The sequence below is a fragment of the Homo sapiens genome, chromosome 3 (assembly GCF_000001405.40).
Source record: "Homo sapiens chromosome 3, GRCh38.p14 Primary Assembly".
NCBI classification, from domain to species: Eukaryota; Metazoa; Chordata; class Mammalia; order Primates; family Hominidae; genus Homo; species Homo sapiens.
The window spans coordinates 114149022-114171319 of NC_000003.12; the positions used below are offsets into that span (position 1 = coordinate 114149022).

A 22298-nucleotide genomic window follows, 5' to 3' on the forward strand; every position below is an offset into this window, starting at 1 on the left:
TATTCATTTAATCTTTATTCAATATTTATTGAGTCCCAACTATACGCCAGGCCTCATTCCAGGTATTCAGAGGTGTGCAAAAGGCACATTGTCCCTGTTCTCTTTGAGCTTAGAGTTAAGTGGAGTGAATGAACAATAAAAAAGGAAACAAATATGTTAATATAAAATGAAGAGTACCATGAAAGAAATACACTGGGTGATGTGTTAGAGAACCAGGGAGGAGGTAAAACTAACACAGAGTGAGCAGGGAAGTGAGTGATACGAGAGGGAGCCAGCCATGAGGTCAGACGGGGGAGGAACATTCCAGGTCCTGTAAATTTATCCATTGCAATATCTTCCCCATTTATTTATCCACCTATCCCTTTCCTGCTACCTGATTTCTATGATGGCTACAGCCTCCTCGTTGGTCTCCTGCTGCCAGGTTCCAAAAATAAATTTCATCACGTCTCCCCATCTCCCCACCTGAAAATTATCTGAGATAGGCAGGACTCTAGGATGGCCCCAAGATTTCTGCCACGTATAATCCCCTCCGTTGAGTGTAGGCTGAACCTGTGACTATAATGCAATATCACTCCTGTGATCAGATTACTGATCAGTTGAGGTTAAGTTAATCAAAAGGGAGATTATCTTGAGTGGGCCTGACCTAATTAGGTGAGCCCTTAAAGGGGACTGAGAAATTATCCTTTTGGCCTTGAAGGAGCAAACTGCTATGTTTTGGAGAGGGTCATTTTTTAGGAGATGGCAAAAGGCTTACAGGAGCTGAGAACAGCACTGGTTGACAGTCAGCTAGAAAGTAGAGACCTCAGTCCTGCAACTGCAAGGAACTGAATACTCCTAACAACCTGAGTGAGTGTGGATGAGGACCTCAGGCTCCAGATGAGAACACAACCCAGTCTACACCTTGATTTCAGCCCTGTGAGATCCTGAGAAGAGAACCTACCTACACTGTGTACACAGTGCTGACTTACAGACTCTGCAAGATAAAAATGGGTACAGTTCAAGCCTCTAAATATGTGATAATTTGTTCCACAGCAATAGAAAATGAATACACTGTTGATGGCTCCTCTTTCACCTATAAACCAAGCTCAGCCTTCTCCAACATGACCTCAACTTACGTTGCCAATCTGACCTCCCACTGATCCTGACACTCACAGCTCCAGCCACACTGGCCTGGTAATGAGTACTCTTCAATAGTCAGAGACTGGTGTCTTTGTTCAATTAATCATTCCTTCTTCCTCCCTGGGCAACTCAATCTTGCCCTCCATTAATCTCAGATGAACTTTCCAGCCACCTTCCCACTTCTTTCCATCATGTACAGAGACTTCTAACTATGAACTCTTAGCACTTCTATGCAAATCAATTACAATGCCCTCCTGCATGCAGCTGTCTTGCCTCATGACTGAATTTGCCTCGTGGCTGGAGAGAGAGAGCTCCATATAATTTTAGTTACTTCAGGATCAAATCTTCTTACAACCTTGATATTTTCCATAGGTCCTTGTACAAAGAAAGTAATAAGAAACTGTTAACTGTCTGCCTCATGGGTCACGAAGGCCTCCTTTCCTGTAAGAGGGGAAGGCTTCCTTCCCTTCTAATCCTGGCCAGGCTCAGGGATCTAAGGTATAAGCTGGATCTACCAATGGCTCAACATTTTTTGTCTTGTCAGTTTCCAAGGAACCTGGAGCCTCCTTAACCCTTGTTGTGCACCTCAAGGCCTGGGATTAAGGAAAGGAAGGACAGATGCTGGGCTCGAAGGGATCGGGCAAGGCTTCCTGAGGCTCCTCCTGTGTGTTTCCCCTGCTCCTATGCGCCAGCACTGCCCGAATCTGCCTCTTGTGCATCTTGTTGTAGAGTAGTAACATTTGCATTCCCAGAAGGGCAGATTACAGTTAGCTGTGAGTTCTGAGATGAAGGTAAACTGTGCAGGACTTGGCCTTGACACCATGCTGTATGACAAAGGTGGCTTCTTTCTCAAAAGGGAAAAATTTGATAAAGTCAAATTAAGATCCTGCTACCCACTTCTTGGGAGGCTACAACAACCTAGTTCCCTTCATCTGATGCAAGTCCTCTCTTAAATCCCCTCCTTGGTTTATACAAGAGCAGGTCAAGTAGCAGCTGGTGTTTCTCTAGGCCTCTGACTCTCCTCAGAGCTTTAGACTCTGCCGGGGGCTTCTAGTACAATATGTCTACAAGGGCCTCGCTGTTAGTGGTAACTATGAGGCACCTTGGAGGAGGGGCTGAGCCTTGAGTCCTGCTGCTGCCATGACTGAACAGCGAGGGGAAGGAATACTGTAACTCACTTTCTCCAGGCCTTCCACTTGCATAATGTCCTTTGATGTAAAAGAGCCTGACCCTTCTGTGTATTCAGTGGTGTGCTGGTAAATGGCTAACAACAGGCTCTGTAGTTTACAAAAAGCCCTAATTTGTATTATTTGCCAATTTCTGTGGTGTCAATACTCCCACCATGGCCTATTTTAAGCTACCACCAAAGCTTTAATAACTGATGCAAAAAGTTTCTAAAATTTTGCCAATCAGCTCTCGCTAGCCATGATAAGCCGGCTTCAGCAGACCACTGAGAGTTATATACTTTCCTAAATATGCTATAATGTTCAGCAACTCCCTGGAGGCTCCATTAATGAAGTGGGCCAACAAGTGTAGGGAACCCTGGCTCTATCCCATAAAGGAGGAAGCAGAGATGCAAGGATGTCAGTTATGAGCCCAAGGTTCTGCAGCAAATTGTGGCAGAGCCATGTCTCCCACCTCTGAGGTGTGTTTCTCCTGAGTGCCCTCCTCCCTCTCGAGGGCATCGACAGCTCTCTGAGTTCTTGTGGGGGACAAGGGCTTCCTCAGTGAAGTCAGCATGGCAAGGGTGGTTACCGCTTGCAGAGCACTGCGTGCGCCCACAACTGAGTTTCCTCAATTCGCTCGATTCTGTTAATTGCCTGGGGGTCCTGTTAAAATGCAGAATATCAGGCTTAGTTTCTGGAGATTTTGATTTAGTACTTCTGAAGTGGAACCCAGAAATGTGCATTTTTGTTTCTTCTTTTTTGAAATTATTTTATTTTTCGATAAGTTATTGGGGTACAGGTAGTATTTGGTTACATAAGTTCTTCGTGGTGATTCGCGAGATCCTGGTGCACCCATCACCCAAGCAGTATACACTGTACCATATTTGTAGTCTTTTATCCCTCACCCCACTCCCCTTCATCTGATGCAAGTCCTCTCTCGAATCCCCCTCCTTGGGGATTCTTCCCCCAAGTCCCAAAAGTCCATTGTATCATTCTTATGCCTTTGCATCCTCATAGCTTAGCTCCCACATATCAGTGAGAACAGAAATGTGTATTTTTAACAAGCAAGTGCATCTTATGATTAGACAGGTTTTGAGAAAGTCTGCATTAGGGAAAACTTCTGTGACAAAGATTTTTGTTCACTTGGATAAGAAGTAAGAGACAAGACTACAATTTAACACTGTTACAGTAATTTTTTTCTTGCTCTTTTTTAAACATGATTAAACTGTTAGAATAAATGAGGCCCCCGCTTGTCATAAGCCGACTGCGACAGGGAGGCTGTACCGGAATTGGCCATCGGAGGGCACTATAATGCAGCAAGAACTCTGCCAGCACGGCTGGGGTGAGAAGTTCACTGCTCACCTGGGGGCTCTCCAGGCTCTGTGGGGAGGCAGAGAGGGAAAGCCCGGCGCCCTGCTTCCTGGAACCCTGCAGGGACCCTGCATTCCCACCCAGGCCGACCGCTTAGCCTCTGACTTCCTCTCGGAGCGATTGCACGTGACCGACTGCAGGCGAGGGCCGCGCCAAAGCACCCGGAGGGCTGGGCTGGGCTTGGCCGGGAGAGAGAGGCTTGGCCCAGGGCCACCTCTGAACATCTGGCCGCTGCGCTCGCGGCGGTATTCCCAGGTCCGGACCTGCCAGCCTCGCACTGTGCGCGCCGCCCCTGCAGACCCTGAGCCAGGGACCCTCCCCTTGTGTCTGAGCTCTTAGCTCCCTGGGCCGTTTCTGGTGTGGATGACTCCGCTGACCCCAGCACTGGCAGTGTGCTTGGTGATTAAGTCCGCGGGCATGAGAAACGGACTGATCAGCTCTGAATCCCGGCTCTGCCACTGAACTGTGTAGCCATGGGCCAGTGGTTTGTTTTTTCTAAGATCCAATTTTCTCATCTGTACAATGGGGATAATAATTTCTGCCCGAAAAGGCTGTAATGAATATTGAATGATATTTTCTCTGTAAACCTTTTTTTTTTTTAAGTCACAGTGCCCAGTGATTAATACTAAACATTCAAAAGACGGTATTATTATTGTTATTGTTGTCATAATTATTGTGCTAGCTCAAGGGATCAGTGATTGTTCATATCAGTGAGTTTATGGTTGTCTTCCCCTTCCTCCTGATATCAGGTAATATTAAATTTGTTTATTTATCCACCAAAAATGTACATGACACTTTCTATGTGACAGGCACTATTTGAAGTGCTTTACGAATATTAATTCATTTAATCCTCCTAACAACCCTTTGAGGTAGTTGTTATTATCTCCACTAAACAGATAAGAGAACTGAGGCTCTGACAGGTTAATTGACTTGCCCAAGGTCACATTGCTATTAAACTGTAGAGCCTGGATTTTTAGCCAGGCAGTGTGACTCTATAGCTAGGGAGCCCAGAGCCAGACTCGCACCTCAGCATCTCTGAGTAAGGGAGTGTGCTGTAATAGACAGAGGCTGCCTGAATCCTTACTCTTGCACCACCCAGTTGTGTGATCTCGGCAAGCTCACCTACCCATTCTAGTCTCAGCACCTTTATTTATATAGTGAGGGTATTACATCTCTCTCTCTGGGTTGTCGTGAAGGTTAGCAATAATGAATGAAGAGTTCTTAGTGTCTGGCACATAGTACATGCTAAATAAATGTTAACTATTTTTATTATTGTTGCTTCCAGACTCATGTAAGTTAGCATTAGCATAGAGGTAGCCAGGGCATTGAAGACATAGGTGCCCCATCCTCACCTTCACCAATGAAGGTGTCACTTATTGTAATAGAGTGCTGGTGGAAAGTCAGGAGATTCCATTTCTAGTCCCACACCTGTGCTAAGAGGCTGCAGCACTTCATGCAAGCATTTAGCATTTCCACTTAAATGAGATAACTGTGATGCCCCTTCTGACTTCTGGTTCTATGAGCAGGATGTTGCCCCTTCTGACTTCCGGTCCTATGAGCAGGATCTATATGGTTGGTCACTTACTGAAGGTCTCAGTACCTTGCAGAATTTGATTTCAATCTCAGAGCCCTGTCCCAGGGTGGGAGATGTGTGTGTGTGTGTGTGTGTATGTGTGTGTGTGTGCTGACAAGGGTTGCTCTTTAGGAAGCTAGCAGTCCAGGAGGAAAGAGGCCAGCCTGGGTGGGAAGGCCTGACTCTAACTCCCCGCCTGGGTTTAATGAGCCCCAGAGTTCTGTGAGGGCTGCTTTTCACCATCTTTTATTTGGTCAGACAGGGGGCTCAATATATCTTTAGTTCTGTGGACTCCCCTCCTGGAGTTGTTGAAGGAGAAAGCTTTTTGCAAATGACTGGAAAGCCTTTTGCAAATATAAAGTGCTTATTTAGATGCAAACTAAAAATCCAAGGTGCCTGTGACTCATCTGGTACCTATTGTGCTCGCTGCAAAGACGCGGAGGCTTGCCTGTGTGATGGGTGCCATTTGAGAGCCACTTAAAGAACTCCCTGGTGAATGAATTTGGCTGCATTATTCCTGGGCTCCTCTCGGAGGACTCTAATTCTCACCACTTGGTCGTGTCCTCCTCTTCTGACACATTCTCAGCCCTCTCCCTGAGTTAGTTTGGACCCAGGATGTGATGGGAGGAGGGCTGGCTCCCTGGGGAGGCAAGGAGCTAAAGGAGTGGGGGCTTGTGCTCCGAGGACTTCCCACTCTGCTTTTTAAAAACGAAATGGCAGCATTAATCCAAGCATCAGAGCTATGCCTAAGAATCTAATGACAATAGTATTACTTGCTTTCAAAAACCCTTTTATCATTTCCTTTTCTTTCATATCTCTTTCCACAGCATTATTATAGATCAGGGCTTCATGACCAAAAAATACTGAATCCATTTGGTTAAGTTTGTCAGATTGGTGACTGGCATTGTGTGAAGACCAAAGGTCTGCGTGAATGACTGCATTTTTAATGAATTGACCAGCTATTTGTCATCACATGAACAGAATGTAATGCAAACTGCTGTGAAGAATAATGAACCCAGCTTTTCCAAGGCCTGTTTTCATTTCTAGAATAGGAGGGGGCTCCATTTTGAGGCTTGGTGAGAATTCATTGGCCCATATAGAACTATGAGCCAAGAAGGGAGCTTCGTTTTCGCTTGGGATCTAAGGCATGGCTGGTCCCTTCAGGTAGGTAAGTGCTGTGTATTCTCGGAGTTTTCCTATATGGGACAGAAGCCAATTCAAAGTTACTCTTGTTGGTTGCGTTTTAAGTGGTAAAAACTAGAGGTGTGTTTTAGGCATGGCTGCTGGCCGCAAAATGGTGCTCTTGTGCAAATTAAAGAAAGGCGCCCTCTCCTGGCTGGCAAATCGTAGAAAAGCACCCTCTTCTGGCCAACTCTAGGCTTGGAAAAGGGAGTGATAGCTGAATTTCATTTCCACACCCTTGCGCAGGGAACAACCTGCACAACCTCACCCACAGCCCTAAGTGCATAAGAATATAGGTGGGTGGAGTGTATAGGCACACTCTCAAGAGGGAAGAGAGGAGGCTCAGGAACTACGAGGGCTGAGGGGGCTCTCTTTACACAGTTCTCCCTCTTCACAAAGCGAACCCTCTCCCATTCTCTGACGTCCTTTCCGAAAGCCTCCTCCCAAAAGTCAAAAGCCTCCTCCCTTTCCTCCTTGGAGTTCTCTCCCTCCCACTTCCCCTTCCGCCTCTTCTCCTTCTCCCAATAATATCATCCATCCATCTCATAGCTCCAGCAGGTGACCCAAATAAGATCTGCCATTTATTGAGAATTTATCACATTGTGCTAAGCTTTGACACACATTAACTCATTTCATCTTCACAATTCTTAGGTACTGTTGTTATCTTCAATTTCCAACTTCTTAGAGTATTTAAGGAATTTGCCAAAGCCACACCATTAGTACTGGGCGGTGCCAGGATTAGAATTCATGTCTATTTGACTCCAAGTTAGTAATCTTAAACTTTGTGCTAACCTCCCTAAATCTCCAACTACATCCCTGCCTTCTCCCCTGAGTTCCAGATCACATTACTTCCTGGATAGTCCACTTGTTCCTATTATGCCAGATGTTAAAAACCAAACCATTAAAGCACCAAATCGTCTCGACATGGTGATCTCTTCTTGACAGCATCTTTCTCCTGGAATCTTGTGTTCTGTTTGACTCCTTTCTCTTCCTAATCTTTCATATTCAAGAGGTTGGTGTTTACAGACCTTTTGCCGTTTTTTTTTTCAAAATTTCCCCTACTTTTCCTTTCTTGTTTCCTCCTATTTATTTTAGGATCCTATGATCCCTTACCTGAAATTCTGCTGCACTTTCTAACTGGTCCTTCATAGCACTATCAAAATCATTCCCTTAGAAGTAAAGCCTTACTCAAAATCCCTCAGTGCCTCCTTGGCCTATTGAATAAAAGTTAGAATTACCTCCACTGCCTGGCATTCAATGTTTTCCACAATATGGCTTGCCTGTCTTTCTTTCTTTCTTTCTTTCTTTCTTTTTCTTTCTTTCTTTCTTTCTTTCTTTCTTTCTTTCTTTCTTTCTTTCTTTCTTTCTCTTTTCTTTTTCTTTCTTTTTTCTTTCTTTCTTTCCTTTCTTTCTTTTCTTTCTTTCTTCCTTTCTTTCTTTTTCTTTCTCTTTCTTTTCTTCTCTTTTCTTCCTTCCTTCTTTCCTTCCTTCCTTCCTTCTCTTTCTTTCTTTCTTCCTTTCTTCTTTCCTTCCTTCCTTCCTTCTTTCTTTCTTCCTTTCTTTCTCTCTCTCTCTCTCTTTCTTTCTTTCTTTCTTTTTTTCTTTCTCTCCTTTTTTTTTCTTTCTTTCTTGTTGTTTTGAGTCAGACTCTTGCTCTGTTGCCCAGGCTGGAGTGCAATGGTGCAGTCTCAGCTCACTGCAAACTCCACCTCCCGGGTTCAAGCGGTTCTCCAGCCTCTGCCTCCTGAGTAGCTGGAATTACAGGCACCCACCACCATGTCCGGCTAATTTTTGCATTTTTAGTAGAGATGGGTTTTCATCATATTGGCCAGCCTGGTCTCGAACTCCTGACCTCAAACGATCCTCTTGCCTCGGCCTCCCAAATTGCTGGGATTACAGGAGTAAGCCACCGTGCCTGGCCTCAATCCCCCTTTTCAATTTCATCTCTTCCCAGGTTGCCCCATACCCTTCTCATGCTCCAAAGTCTATCACAATGATCCTCTTTTCCATAAAGCCCTTTCACATTCCCACAGTCTGATTCAGTCACCCTTGAACTTCACAATGCTTTCTCTGTCACTATGTTGTGGCATCTCCAGCCTGCTTTTTCTAGAGGTCATAGCACAGGCCCCCTCAATTGGCCCAGTGTTGTGCCCTCTGTAGCAACAGCCTCACATTTCCTTTTACATGCTGAAGTGGGAATTTTGAACAATAACCAAAAAAATGAATATGAACACACTTTGCTCTGGTGATCCTGCAAACCAATCAGCTAATTGGATGATTTTTTATTTATATCACTTGGTTGGCTAGCCAACTGAGAAGAAAGCTAAAGAACATGTCCACAATGCTGAAAATAATACCATTAAAGAGTGTGTTTAAAAAAGAGGGGTAGGCCAGGCACAGTGGCTCACACGTGTAATCCCAGCACTTTGGGAGTTTGAGGCGGGTGGATCACCTGAGGTTGGGAGTTCGAGACCAGCCTGACCAACATGGAGAAACCTCATCTCTACTAAAAATGCAAAATTAGCCAGATGTGGTGGCTCATGCCTGTAATCCCAGCTATTTGGGAGGCTGAGGCAGAAGAATCACTTGAACCCGGGAGGTGGAGGTTACAGTGAGCCAAGATCGTGCCATTGCACTCCAGCCTGGACAACAAAAGTGAAACTCCATCTCAAAAAAAGAAAAAAGAAAAAAAGAGGGGTCCAGATGCAGTAGTATGTGCCAGTAATCCCAGCTACTTGGGAGGCTAAGATGGGAGGGTTGCTTGAGTCCAGGAGTTTGAGACCAGCCTGGACAACATAGCAGGACCTCATCTCTGCAAAAAAGAAAAAAAAAAAAAGGAATATAATTGCATAAGTCTGTAAACATACCAATATAACATTGAATTACACACTTTGAGTGGATGAATTGTGTGGTATGTGAGTTATATCTTCATAAAGCTGTTTTAAAAAGTGAAGAGTTGGGGATTTTAGAATATTTTTAGCTCTAATATCTAAGTCTTTTGTGTAATTTCTAGACATTTAGTACACATTTTCAGGAGTGCATTATTTGCAGACATAGAGGACTGCAGCTGGTTTGCTTTATTATCATTACCCCAAACTCTTCTACAAGACCTAGCTCCTGATCACCTGTGACCTTCCCTGCTGTGCCCATTACAGAGTCTTGAACAAAGAGTATTCAGCTGAATTCAGTGGTCCCTGTTTGAAGGTAGCCAATGTTTATACCATAAAATAACAGTACCTAAGATAATACATAAGATAATAACAGTACCTAAGAATTGTGAAGATGAAATGAGTTAATGTGTGTCAAAGCTTAGCACAATGTGATAAATTCTCAATAAATGGCAGATCTTATTTGGGGTCACCTGTTGGAGCTATGAGGTGGATGGATGATATTACTGGGAGAAGGAGAAGAAGCGGAATGGAAAGTGGGAGGGAGAGAACTCAGAGCAGGAATGGGAGGAGGCTTTTGACTGGCAGCAAGGGCCATAGGCTTGAAAGTGACCTCCTTTCCCCCAGGGCTCTCAGTGAGGCTGGTGATGTCCCAGGGGAGCCAGGCAAATCTCAGGCTCAGGCAGAGGAAAGGGGAAAGAAGAGAGGAAGACAAAAGGAGAGGGGAAGGGAGAAACAGAGGGACCCAGAGCAAGGGTGGTGAGTCCAGGTGCTCTCAGGGATAGAAAGCAATGTTACTCAGGCAGAACACACAGAGAGAGGAGTCAAAATCACAGCAATTCACCCCAGCAACCAAAATGTAATTTTAAAAAACATACTATACTTGCTTCTCTAAGCTCTATGAGAGAAACATATAGATCACAGCCATGCTTTCTAAAATTGCCTTTCTCCCCCACTTCTCTCCTCTCTCCCCCTCAAAAATTATCCCTACACCTGCCCCTCTTTCTTTCTCTTTCTCTCTCCCACCTTCTCTCCATCTCTCCCTTCAACAAAAACAAACAAAACAACAACAGAATTTCCTACCAACCCCAGTCAGCTCACCTTTCCTCCTTCTCCCCCTCCCTAATGGGAAGCTTTCCTTCCTATTAGGAAGAAAAAAAAAACCCCAAAGGATGGTGGAAAAGCAAAACCAGAATCCTCTTCAGGGAGCTGGAGGAGAAGAAAGGCCAGGAAAGCTTATAGGGTCGTTATTTCCCACCTGTCGCAGGGGTTTCTTCTCACCTGCAAACCATACTTTAAAAGAAAAAGAGAGGAAAGAAAATGTTCCAGTGTCAAGTTCTACTTGGAGGTGACCCCAGTACCCTCAAGTGCACAATCTGTCTCTCCCCACTTCCCCAGCTTTTGGGCCACCTGGAAGGGGAATTGCAGCCCTACCTGTCTATGCTGATGGCACAGAGATTAAGGATGCTGGCTGTACACATCATGACATCCAGGGTGACAAAAACATCACAGCAAATGCGGCTGAAATTCCAGACTCCACCTGTCACCTGGGTATCAGAGACAAGGATGTTAGTGTTTACCCCAGTGAAGGAACGACAACCCAGTTGGCCCTATTTTCTTTGCTTTGCTGCCTAGTGTAGATGTTGGCACTCCTACTCCCTGTGTACCGTTGTTCCCACAGGGCAGATGGACATCAAGGGAGTGCCAGGCTATCCAAAACTGGTTGCCTAAAGAAAGGACAAGTTCACAGAATGTTAGAATGCTAATGCTGGAAGTGATCTTCCAAGTCAGTTAGTCCAGTGATTCTCAAAGTGTGGTCCACAGTGGGGTGTTTATTAAAGATGTAGATTTCTGAATCCTTCCTATACCTACTGAGTCAGAATCTTTGGCTCTTTGGTCTGTAAATCTTCTTTTTTATTTTTTTTAAATTTATTTTATTTTTTGAGATGGAGTTTTGCTCTTGTTGCCCAGGTTGGAGTGCAATGGTGCGATCTCGGCTCACCACAACCTCCACCTCCCCAGTTCAAGTGATTCTCCTGCCTCAGCCTCCCAAGTAGTTGGGAATACAGGCATGCGCCACCAAGCTGGGCTAAAATCTTCATTTTTAAATAAACACTCCTATACATACCAAGGTTTGAGAATCACTGTTGAAATTCAAACTCAGGAGGCAACTAATGCTCCTTGTGGTTAAGTGATAACTTCCTCATAGATGCTCAGCTGGTGGTAAAAGGACTTCGGTGACTACCCGATGTGTACATTGTGCCAAAACTGTCTCTCTGAAGTCCTTCACCCAGTAGAGAGCTCATCATGCACTCAAGAAATAAGCTAAGAACACATTTTTCATAAAATTTACCTCCAAAGTAAAAATCTATCTGGCTTCAGCTTGTAAAGCTTGGAAACATTCTGAAACAACATTTATGGGAATCTATGTAAAATAAGTCTGTGCCAATGTGACTGCCTTCAACACTCTCCCTCCCCACCCACATCCCAAAAACCAAAAGTGGGGAAAAGGGCTGGATTCTCTCCACTACTCAGAATTCATGAGGATGGTTTCAACCTCATGCATCTATCTATACATGTATTTCAAGCTCCATAACATCCTCTGAGTAATGCTTACAGTCAGGAATTTATATAATATCATTTATACTCTAGTATATTTCTATTTATTTTTGAAACCTTTACATACCCTAATTGAATCAGGAAGATGTGTCAGGGAGATTGACACTTTTAAAATGTCCACCAAAGGCCACTCATGGACCGCGAGGCTTTGTGCAGTTACCAGCTTCTTTCCTGGGGGGGTGGGCTGTCATTCTTGGGGACCCTAGTTCTCGGGGAGAAACCTGCCAGGCTTTGTGCCTCTGGCTGTAGCTGAGTATTCACAATACCGCTCCTGAACAGGCCCAATGGCCATTTAAGAGGAAGAAAGAGTGAAAAATGGTACAGTAGCCTCTGAAGTAGCTTCCCAATAAGAAAACAGATACTGACCAAATGACTGTGCATAAAGATAGTGCTATTCCTTCATCTGGATTTTCTCATCCAAGGATCTTCTTATATGACCAGGTCACTTTAGTGTTCATTTCTGTTTTATCCCAATAAAATAAGGTCCTAAAAGGCCGTCTTTCCTTCCCTGTCCCTGATAACTTCTTCCCATTGGATTTATTTCTTTTTTTGCATCTCATTTTATTCCTGTGCTTGGTCATCTCCAGACTGTTTTGAGAAACCCTGACCAATGATTTTTTGTTTAAAAGCAACAATGAAAATTAAAACTAGTGAAGAAGTCAAATCCAGTTATGGATTTACTGTCTCTCTTTTAGTTTGACCAATTGGCTCTATATAAATAAAGGCTGAATATGAATTTATAGGAATTCTGAGAATAAAAAGCTTTTAAAAGATTGAGACATAAGAATTCCGATCTAAAGAGTCATAATAACACAATGATTTAGGGGAACCAAGAGAATAAAAGAAGGTTTTCTTCATTACATAGGACAGTTGCATACTGTAAAAGCGTCTTGCAAAAGCTGATTTTGTATACTAAATTTTATTTCAATATTATATCTACTCTGCAGTTAATGTTTTAAATTGGGTAAAAAAACACTTTTTGGCATAATTGTGAGCACATGTTTGTTTGTGTTTTGGGCTAGAGTAGGTGAGAAAGGATAGTTAGGATAACAGCAAACTTCAGTGTTTGCTGGATATTCATTCATTCATGCACTTGTAGAGCAAATACTTGTGAAGCTCTTAGTACTTGGTTTGCAGCAGTGTATGTCATGTGTGTTGAGAGGTTTTACAAAATGTACTACAGGGCCTATCCTTAAAGAATTTACAAGATAACTGGAGAAGTAAGGCATTCATCAATAAAATACTAGAGATCATCATGATATCCTAATATTGTTAATAGGAATTAACATTTATTGAGAATTCACTGTACATGTGTTACCAACCCACATGACCCATTCCAGGAATTTCTATAACTTTGAAACTTCAGACTTTGAAAACTGAATTTGTTTTTATTGTATGTGTTCTTAAAGCTTTTTGAAGACAAGTTATACATTTACTTGATAGGGGATGGAGTTATTGTTACTTAACCAACACCAACAGGAGCAGGAAGATTTACTTGTTTGCTGCTGCACCCCCAGCTCCCAGAGCAGGGCCCAACCATGAAAATATATTCTGAAATAATAAATGACCTCTGACATAATCTGTCATAATAATAGCTAACATTTATTGAACGCTTACTAAGTGCCTGGTGTTCTGCAAAGCACTTTACATACGTGGCCTCTATTGCCGATTATAATTCTATGACAGAGGATTATTATCTTCATTGCAGAGGAAGAATCTAAAAGCTTAGAAAGAATAAGCACTTTGTCCAAGGTCACAGGGCTAGTACAGGGAGACAGAGCATTGGAATGTAGGTTGTTACACACCCTGCTATAGGGAAGTGTTAGGTGAGGAGGGATAGTTGTTGGAAAAGGGATGGAAGTGGGTAGATACTAGGGGAAAGAAGAAAACCAGGTGTTCCTCAGGGATTTTTGTGTGACAGACCATATCATCTCCTTTCTAGGGAAAGAGACACTCTCCTGATTGCCTCTATCCCAGGGTTCAAAGAATAGTGCAAGAGACAGTGGTAAGTGCTGCCTTTGGGGTTGGTGAAAGTACACAGACAGTTTTATTTAATACCCCTCCTGCTTAGCCCCCAAAGGACAAAGCCCTCAAGCTGTTCTCTGGCTTCCAGGCCCCCAATGGCCTGTCATCCCATTCTGGCTATCCTCTTTTCTTGTCTCCTGATTCTGCCATGAAAATTCTCATTCTCTCCTTGATTTCAGCTAAGAGTCAAGAAGAAAACAATCTGATTAGCTGATTAAAATAATTCCCACTAAGGTGCCATCACTTAGCCTTCCCTGGAGCTTACTCATTAAAATGAGTCTCTAATTGGTGGGACTTGTAATGAATTTTTTTTTTTCTATTGACATCCTCCATATCAAGCAACAAATAGTAAGGGATCAATAAAGTGCATCTAGGTGCCAAGAATATGCTGGTAATTCTCACACATTTTCTCATCACAACCTGAAGAGGTAAATGTGATTTTTAACTTATAGGTAAAGAAATGGAGACCTGGAAGGGTTGAGTAATTTGCCAAATGGAGACCTGGAAGGGTTGAGTAATTTGCCTAAGGACACATAGCTTGTAAAAGGAGCTAGGATTTTGACCCCTTTATATTACCATTACTCTTCCTGCCTCTCAAAGTATAGTGGCTTGCCTCTTCAGAGATGTGTACAATTTAACTCTATTCTAATATCATAGGAGGTAGAAGAGTTGGTGTGTGTCCATCCATTACCCCTATAGCCATGGTCTAATGAGTGCCCAAGATATGTCTGATACTTTGCTTGGGCGGGTGTATTGAAACAAACCTGTTTTTGTTCCCAGGATCTCAGAATACAATGTGTGCCTATTACCAGAAGTGATGTGTGAATGGGTATGGGTGAACTGAGGGCCCGGGAGATAAGTACTTAAAAAACAGCTATGAGGCAATGTGATAGGCACCAAAGGTGAGATAGGTACAAAGTGTTGGAAGATTATGAAAGGCAAAATGATTTTTGAAATTAAAACAGATAAAAGTGAAAAAAGGCCTGGTGTGGTGGCTCCCACCTGTAATCCCAGCACTTTGGGAGGCAGGTGGATAACTTGAGGTCAGGAGTTCGAGACCAGCCTGGCCAACGTGGTGAAACCCTGTCTCTACTAAAAATACAAAAATTAGCTGGGTGTGGTGGTGGGCGCCTGTTATCCTACCTACTTGGGAAGCTGAGGCACGAGAATTGCTTGAACCCGGGAGGCGGAGGTTACAGTGAGCCGAAATCTCACCACTGCACTCCAGCCTGGGTGATAGAGCGAGCCTCAGTCTCAAAAAAAAAAAAAAAAAAAAAAAAAAAAAAAAGTGAAAAAAATCAAATTGACTTGAGGCTTTTTAGAGACATGATTCTTTCTCCTGCATTCTAATGAATAACTCACTTTAGAATTATACAGCAACCAGGTGGTGTTACTCTTACTTGCTAATGAATGTAAGTAACTCCCTGTGGCAATACAGAAGTTGAGTAAGCAGGAAAGTGTCTTCAGGTACTGAAATTGTCTATTGATTTTCAATAGACACAGCCTAGGGCAGCATTCCCCAAATTTACTGATTATAAGGCAGCATTTCCCAAATCTCCAGACACTCTTGTTAAACAAAATGATTCTTAGGCCTCGCTCAGAGTAATAAGTCCCTCAAGTGATTCTTATTGTCTTGGTTTGGGAAACACTGGTCTGGGGTTAAGGGGAGCATAAAATGATCCTGAGAAATTGTTGTTCCTAAAGCAGGTTTTCTTAAGCATTCTTTATCCTGTGGATTTCGTTAGCTTCATGATCCCCTTCTCAGAAGAATGCTTTTCTTCTTTTTATTTTTCTGTTTTCTTTTTTGAGATGGAGTCTCGCGCTGTCGCCCGGCTGGAGTGCAGTGGCACAATCTCGGCTCACTGCAATCTCCACCTCCCGGGTTCAAGTGATTCTCCTGCCTCAGCCTCCCAAGTAGCTGGATTATAGGCTCATGCCACCAGGCCCAGCTAATTTTTGTATTTTTAGTAGAGACGGGGTTTCACCACATTGGCCAGGCTGGTGTTGAACTCCTGACCTCAGGTGATCCACCCACCTCGGCCTCCCGAAGTGCTGAGATTACAGGTATGAGCCACTGCGCCTTGCCAGAAGAATGTTTTTAAAGCATGAAATAAATACAGTGGTTCATAAAGGATATCAGTTTTATTGAAATATAATTGTCAAAGTATTTAAAATATATGTGTTTCTTTAATAATTCATTAAATAACAAGATCTAGTGGCAGGTCCAAAATTCCTATAATTTCAAAGAAATGATGAGTATAAGTGATGTTTCAAGATGTCCGCAACAATCATAATGTGGTTTGAAAATATAAATATCATCAGTGTGCAGGAAGGAGGGTTAAAAAGTTAAACAAAATTTGGGAGGCTGAGGCAGGAGAATCGCTTGAACCCGGAAGGTGGAGGTTGCAGTGAGCTGAGATTGCGCCACTGCACTCCAGCCTGGGCAACAGAGTGAGACTCCATTTCAAAAGAAAAAAAAAGAAAGTTAAAAAAGTTAAGAAAAAAAATCTGTGATTTCTACTGGTGACACTAAAGATTTCTTCTGCTGTGGGTTGATACCTACATTTGGAATTAAAGGAAATTCTAAATTTCATCTCAGGGAAAATAAAGGAGTAGTTTTATTTACATCCAAGTTGATGAACTCCCCAGATTAAGAACTCCAACTCTAAAGGGATGAATTTTTAGTTATTTGGAAATATCTAAGAGGCAAAGATAGAAGTACTTCTCTAATTAGCCTCTTCAGTCCATTTTTGTTTGCCACATTTGGAGTATTTCTTGGTGGGAGGGTTGCTGTGGGGCAAAACAGAATAATAAATAAGGATTTTTCACTTCTCTGCATCTTCATTTCTCCATCTATGAAATAGGGGGTTTGTAGCTTATTGGTTCCCAAATGTCGTAGCAGATGACTAGCTGGTTGCACAAGTCACATAAGGTGGGAGTGGGGCCTGGGGCTTACTCTAGACTTCCAGGGCTGCCCTGGAAATGCTGGTTTGGTAGACCCGAGGTAGACCCAACAGTTTGTATTTTTTTTTTTTTTTTTTTTGAGACAGAGTCTCTGTTGCCCTAGCTGGAGTGCAGTGGCACAATCTCGGCTCACTGCAACCTCTGCCTCCCGGGTTCAAGCGATTCTTCTGCCTTAGCCTCCCAAGTATCTGGGATTACAGGTACCTGCCACTATGCCTGGCTAATTTTTGTATTTTCAGTAGAGACGGGGTTTTACCGTGTTGGCCAGGCTGGTCTCAAACTCCTGACCTCAGGTGGTCCACCCACCTCGGCCTCCCAAAGTGTGGGGATTACAGGCGTGAGCCACCGTACCCGGCCAACAGTTTGTATTTTTAACAAGCAGTCTCTCCTTCCCTTATGCTATAAATTGTGTCCCCCAAAAGGCATGTGTTGGAAACTCAATCCCCAGTGCAACAGTGTTGGGAGATGGGGTCTAACGAGAGGTGATTATCCTTGAGGACTCTGCCCTCATGAGTGGATTAATGTTGTTTTTGTGAGAGTGGGTTCCTTATAAAAGGACAAGTTCATTCCCCTTTTGCCTCTCTTCTGCCCTCCCACCTTCCACCATGGGATGACAGCATGAAGGCCCTTCCCAGATGGAGGCCTCTTGATCTTAGACTTCCAAGCCTCCAGAACTGTAAGAAATAAATCCGTTCTTTGTAAATTATACAGCCTCATGTATTCTGTTGTAGCTGCACAAAATGGATTAACACACCCCCTAATGAACGTTTAGCTCAGAGCTGCTCAAAGTTTAGGTGCATAAGAAGTATGGAGGAGCTCATTTGGATATGAGACTCCAAGACTCATCCTCAGAGAAACCATGTCAGTAGAATATGGCCAGGAATTTCCTGTGGTTGGATCACACTGTGGAAATGATGGCAAAAATAATCTCCAAGCCCTTCCAGCTTTAATATTCTATGACTTTTATCAAAATCCAGAGTTTGGTGACGAGATCGTGAGAATCTCCTGTCTTTGTTTTCCAGTAGGGAGGTCTTAAATTATCATTTGGGGTTTTTTGAGCTGTGGTAAAACTTTCCTTTAAAAAAACCCACTTCTTTATTTTTAATAATCGATATCATTACAAAACTCAAAGATTCTTCCCTTCCCAAAATTTTGCTATTCTTTTCTTTCATCACAGTCCGACCTCGATCGCTTTTTCTGTGGTGCGTTTCCTTGCCTGAACTCATCCTATTCTATCTTGCTTGACTACCTTTCTTAATCCTCAAGTTTTTCCTCCTGTCTACACTGGGACCCAAGTAGTCTGAGTTTAGTATTCCAAATGTTCCCCTGGCCGCTTATACTGCCTTTCTATCCTGATAAAAGTGTTTTAAACATCACAAAAGGTGCTTCACTGAGTGGAACAAAATGAGAAGTTTGTGCTTGGAGAGGAAGCTCTGGAGTGCAGACGGTAAAGCAGGAAATTAAAATCTTGAGAGGAAATCTGAGACAGAACTATTTGGGATGGTACAGAAAAGTTGAGAAAATGCTGCAAACTGAATTAAGCAGATAGCCAAGCCAGAAGCCCTCTGAAATATAATCTTCTGTGAGGTCACCTGCTTGGTTTTTGTCCTGAACTTATCTGCCAGGCTTGAGGACAGAGAATACTGAAGCACGTCAGTGACTGGTCCCTGTGGGCCCCCTTATATATGCCCAAGTGAAGGCTCCTGTGTGTCTTAAAGATGAGAATGATACCAATGAAAGCTGACTGTGGTTCCCACTTACTGACTATCCTCTTCTATCTTTTCAATAAATAGTCCCTAGATGCCACTGTGAATCTATGAGATCGCTGGGCAGTATCCAAAGAAGAAACATATAACCTATGTTAAATCAATTTTTCAAGCTGGAACTCATGTGCCACAAGCCAGTCCAATCAGAGCACATCTTGATACTTCTACTAGAAATTCTAAGAAAAGGATTTTCTCTCTTGCTGTGAATGGTGTGGTGTGGACATGTGAGACCTATAGCTTAGCCTGTTGCCTGCAGGTAAGGTCAGTATATGGAAAAAGGCAGAGCTGAGAGAACTGTAGGGAAATGGAGCTGGTGCCCTGATGGAACTGTGCCTGCAGCCCACCCTACCAGAGGACTTTATAAAGTTCCTGGTATGACAGCCAATGCATTCTGTTTTTTCATTTAAGCCAATTGGAGTTAAGCTGTTTTAAACTTATAATTAAAAGTGTCTTAAGTGAGATATTTATAGATCAAAAGTTTTGGTTATCAAAATACTCTATCAGTTGATGACAGCTGAGTCTAACATCAGCTCAGGGTGGAAAATGTTGTTGTCACCTCCATTTTATGCACTTAAATCCATGTCTTCTGACTCCAAGTTCTGAGTCTTTTTCTCACAGCATGACACTGTGTTGAAATGACATTCATCCCAGTGAATTCCAATAAAGGAAATGTGATACTTTATTGCCTACGTCAGAGCAATTCCCCACCCCTACATCTTTTATAAATAAAACACACGTTTTCATTTTTTCTTTTTTAGCTTCCTTTGCAGCTAAAGGTGGCCTCATGACTAAGTTCTGGCCAATTAAGCTTATGTGAAACCTCTTAGAAACATGCTTTAAGCTACTACAGGGAAAGTGCATGCTCTCTCTCTCTCTCTCTCTCTCATTTCCTGCTGTCCCTACCCATCCTATTTTTGAATACTGCCATGGTGCTGGGGGCTATGGCAAGATAAAGAACTAAGCCAGCTTGCCAAGGATGGTGAAGAGGAAGGATGGAAAAGTCTGGTCTGTGATGACACCATGGGGCAGCTGAACCAACACAATAATTCTTTTCCTCCAGAATTCTGGTTATTTGAAAAACATTAAATGCAGTTAAACCACAACTAATCAAGGTTTCCAATATTTACAGCCAAAACATTCCTACCTCATAAATACTGGTGTCTGGCAAAATGAGCCAATTTTCCTTCGAAGAAGGTGGATGTGTTCAAATCAAAGCACATGCGGCTATGAATCTGGTGAATCTTTTGGATCCCAAAGTGGTGTTCTTCTCATGTACATCTTATCTTCCTGGGGGCCCTCAAGCCTACAGCAGTCTCGGTGGTCAACATTGCACCCTTTTCTTTTCCAAAGGGAGCTCTTAGGTATAATTAAGTAATTAGTAGAGTAGCTACTCAAACTGTACTATCATTAGGACAAGTTAGTGAGAATAATACTTTGCTTCTTCTTGAGGAACATGGATTTATGTATTCATAGCCCATATTTTAAGGGCTCAAAGTGCTCTTTTCTTTCATTAAGGTGCCTCATTTGCCTCTAAGGAAAGATAGGAAAACATTTGAGATTAAGAAAAGTATAGACTGATGTAAGATGGAGAGACTTGGTCCTCTGTATTCTTCACTGGCTTTAGGGCCTCTTTTTGGTCTTACCAACTCGCTTCAAGACATTGACTGGGTCTTGAAGCAAATTGGTAAGACCAAAAAGAGGTCCTAAAGCCAGTGAGGAGACGTCTCTGCTCCCCTGAATCTTCCTTGTGTGAATATAGATTTTAAAAATCATGCTCTTATTGCTTCTCAGCCTTTTGGTTAAGATCAAATGTAAAAATTATGATCTTGATCACTGAATACCTACATGAAATAACCTGTTGGACAGAGGGCATAGTATTATGGTTTTTATGGGGAGAAACCAAAAACTTCATCAGAGCTGTTCTCATGGAAGAAAACCTATATGTACTACTACAGTGATTTCTTTAAGGCCTTTGGCAAGATTTCCTGTCATTTTCTATAGTCTCACCTGCCCTTCTATGCTCAGTAGTAGAATAGGAGCACCAGTATATCAGAAGGTATGGCTAGAAGGGGTGCCATGGATTTCTAGTGTGGAAAAGTCACAATGTCTATCTCCTAAACCAGTACATACAGATGTTTTCCAGTATGGTCCAACCAGAGTCCTAGAAATAATCACAAATACATAGCCAACAAATGCCCCTGAGTGGCTTTGTTACAGACACCAAAAGCCTGGTTTTATCTTAGAGGGAATAAAAATGCTCATTAGAGTGAAGGTCCACTGCCTACATTTCTTCCTGCCATTCATCCTTCTGGAGGACTTAACATTCCTTGGAACACATAGAAATGGACAAAAACATTTTAGGAAGATGATGACAGTGCTATGAGTTATTGACCAATTCATATTGGCTGGTTGCACCTAAAGCGCCTCATTCTTGAACAGAAATATCACATGCTTCGAAATTTTTTCAGGCTCATTATTGTTGGATGTAAAATAACAAATAGCTCGTCCCCAAAAGTCCTCTCCCCAAAAAGTCTGAGTGTAACAATAGATAGAGAGGCAGATGGTATTAGCAGGAATAGCCCATATAATGCATACATTACAGAGAAGATTCATTTCATCATTCATATATCAAATGTTATAGCAGTTAGCATGTATTTTGTGCCAGGTAGTATGTTTAGGCTACAGGAGATGAAGAGTAAAGATCTAGTCTCTGACTTCAAGGTTGACTCAGACTAATTGGGTTGACAGAAAAATCAAGATAATTATAAGACCCTTCACCCTCCCAACTAGGATTATCCTAACTGGGAAGAATAAATGCATATTTTTTCCTCAAGTATTCCCTTAGCCTTTAGATCTACACAGCCTAGTTGTTTTTCTTCTTTTCCTTTTATTTCTCTGTTTTCTTTTTTTCTCTCTTTATGTCTCCCCCTTGAGATCATAAGTCTAATTTTAGTTCCCAGCCATCTTTAACAAAGGTATTAGCACAGGCAGTCTATGTACAAGGTTTTTGCTCTCCCGTGATATGTCATACTTAATTAACTGTCACTTTTACTATCAATATTAACTGAGATATTAATTTGATGAATCTTAATTTCTCTTAATCATAGCATCATTTTGATCCTTCATTGGATACCTCTTTAAAATGACACACAGTGCAGAGGAGAAATATTAATAGTATACTCAGGTTTTTTTAAAAAAACATATCTTAAGTAATTGCATGTTTTCCTGGTAAGAATATCTGTTTCTTGAACAGATATGGTCACCCTGATTTCTTTGTTAGCAAATGGGTGTTTTGTCTTGACCACCCCCTGGCTCTGTTTTGCACTCCCAATTGAAAATACTTTCAAATTTAATAAATGTTTCTCCCCAAAAGAATTCACCAGGATCTGCTGCACTATCTCTCTGGCAAAGGCTCTGTACTATTCATGGACACATGGAAAATATACATTTGAGGGTTTTGTCTGTTCCTTTGGTAGCAGAGTCTATGGAGAACTGGTACCCAGGAGGAAAGAGCAAAGAGGGACTGAGCCATCGAAAGAAGTCTGATCTGTTCGCTGGTCATTCTTTCTATCTTCCCTTACATTCACTAATTTTTTTTTTCTATAATTCCTTTTTCCTCCTGGCC

At 42.5% G+C, this 22298-nt stretch overlaps 1 protein-coding gene across 4 annotated transcripts in view, besides 3 other annotated features; it reads right to left on the reverse strand.

Annotated features, from left to right (window-relative positions):
* DRD3 (dopamine receptor D3) overlaps positions 1-22298 on the reverse strand; it is a 71828-nt gene that overhangs the window by 21442 nt on the left and 28088 nt on the right. For all 4 annotated transcript variants that reach the window (NM_033663.6, NM_000796.6, NM_001282563.2 and 1 more), the window contains 1 exon segment: positions 10734-10846. In NM_033663.6, coding sequence (NP_387512.3) covers positions 10734-10846 — 113 coding nt within the window.
* Positions 3386-3919: an enhancer, noted in NCBI's record as "OCT4-NANOG-H3K27ac-H3K4me1 hESC enhancer chr3:113871254-113871787 (GRCh37/hg19 assembly coordinates)". NCBI's record gives its function as "activates a minimal SCP1, AML or CMV promoter by ChIP-STARR-seq in naive H9 embryonic stem cells {active_cell/tissue: H9 hESC(naive)}" and the evidence as "EXISTENCE:reporter gene assay evidence [ECO:0000049][PMID:30033119]".
* Positions 5277-5786: an enhancer, noted in NCBI's record as "OCT4-NANOG-H3K27ac hESC enhancer chr3:113873145-113873654 (GRCh37/hg19 assembly coordinates)". NCBI's record gives its function as "activates a minimal SCP1, AML or CMV promoter by ChIP-STARR-seq in naive and primed H9 embryonic stem cells {active_cell/tissue: H9 hESC(naive and primed)}" and the evidence as "EXISTENCE:reporter gene assay evidence [ECO:0000049][PMID:30033119]".
* Positions 5787-6296: an enhancer, noted in NCBI's record as "OCT4-NANOG-H3K27ac hESC enhancer chr3:113873655-113874164 (GRCh37/hg19 assembly coordinates)". NCBI's record gives its function as "activates a minimal SCP1, AML or CMV promoter by ChIP-STARR-seq in primed H9 embryonic stem cells {active_cell/tissue: H9 hESC(primed)}" and the evidence as "EXISTENCE:reporter gene assay evidence [ECO:0000049][PMID:30033119]".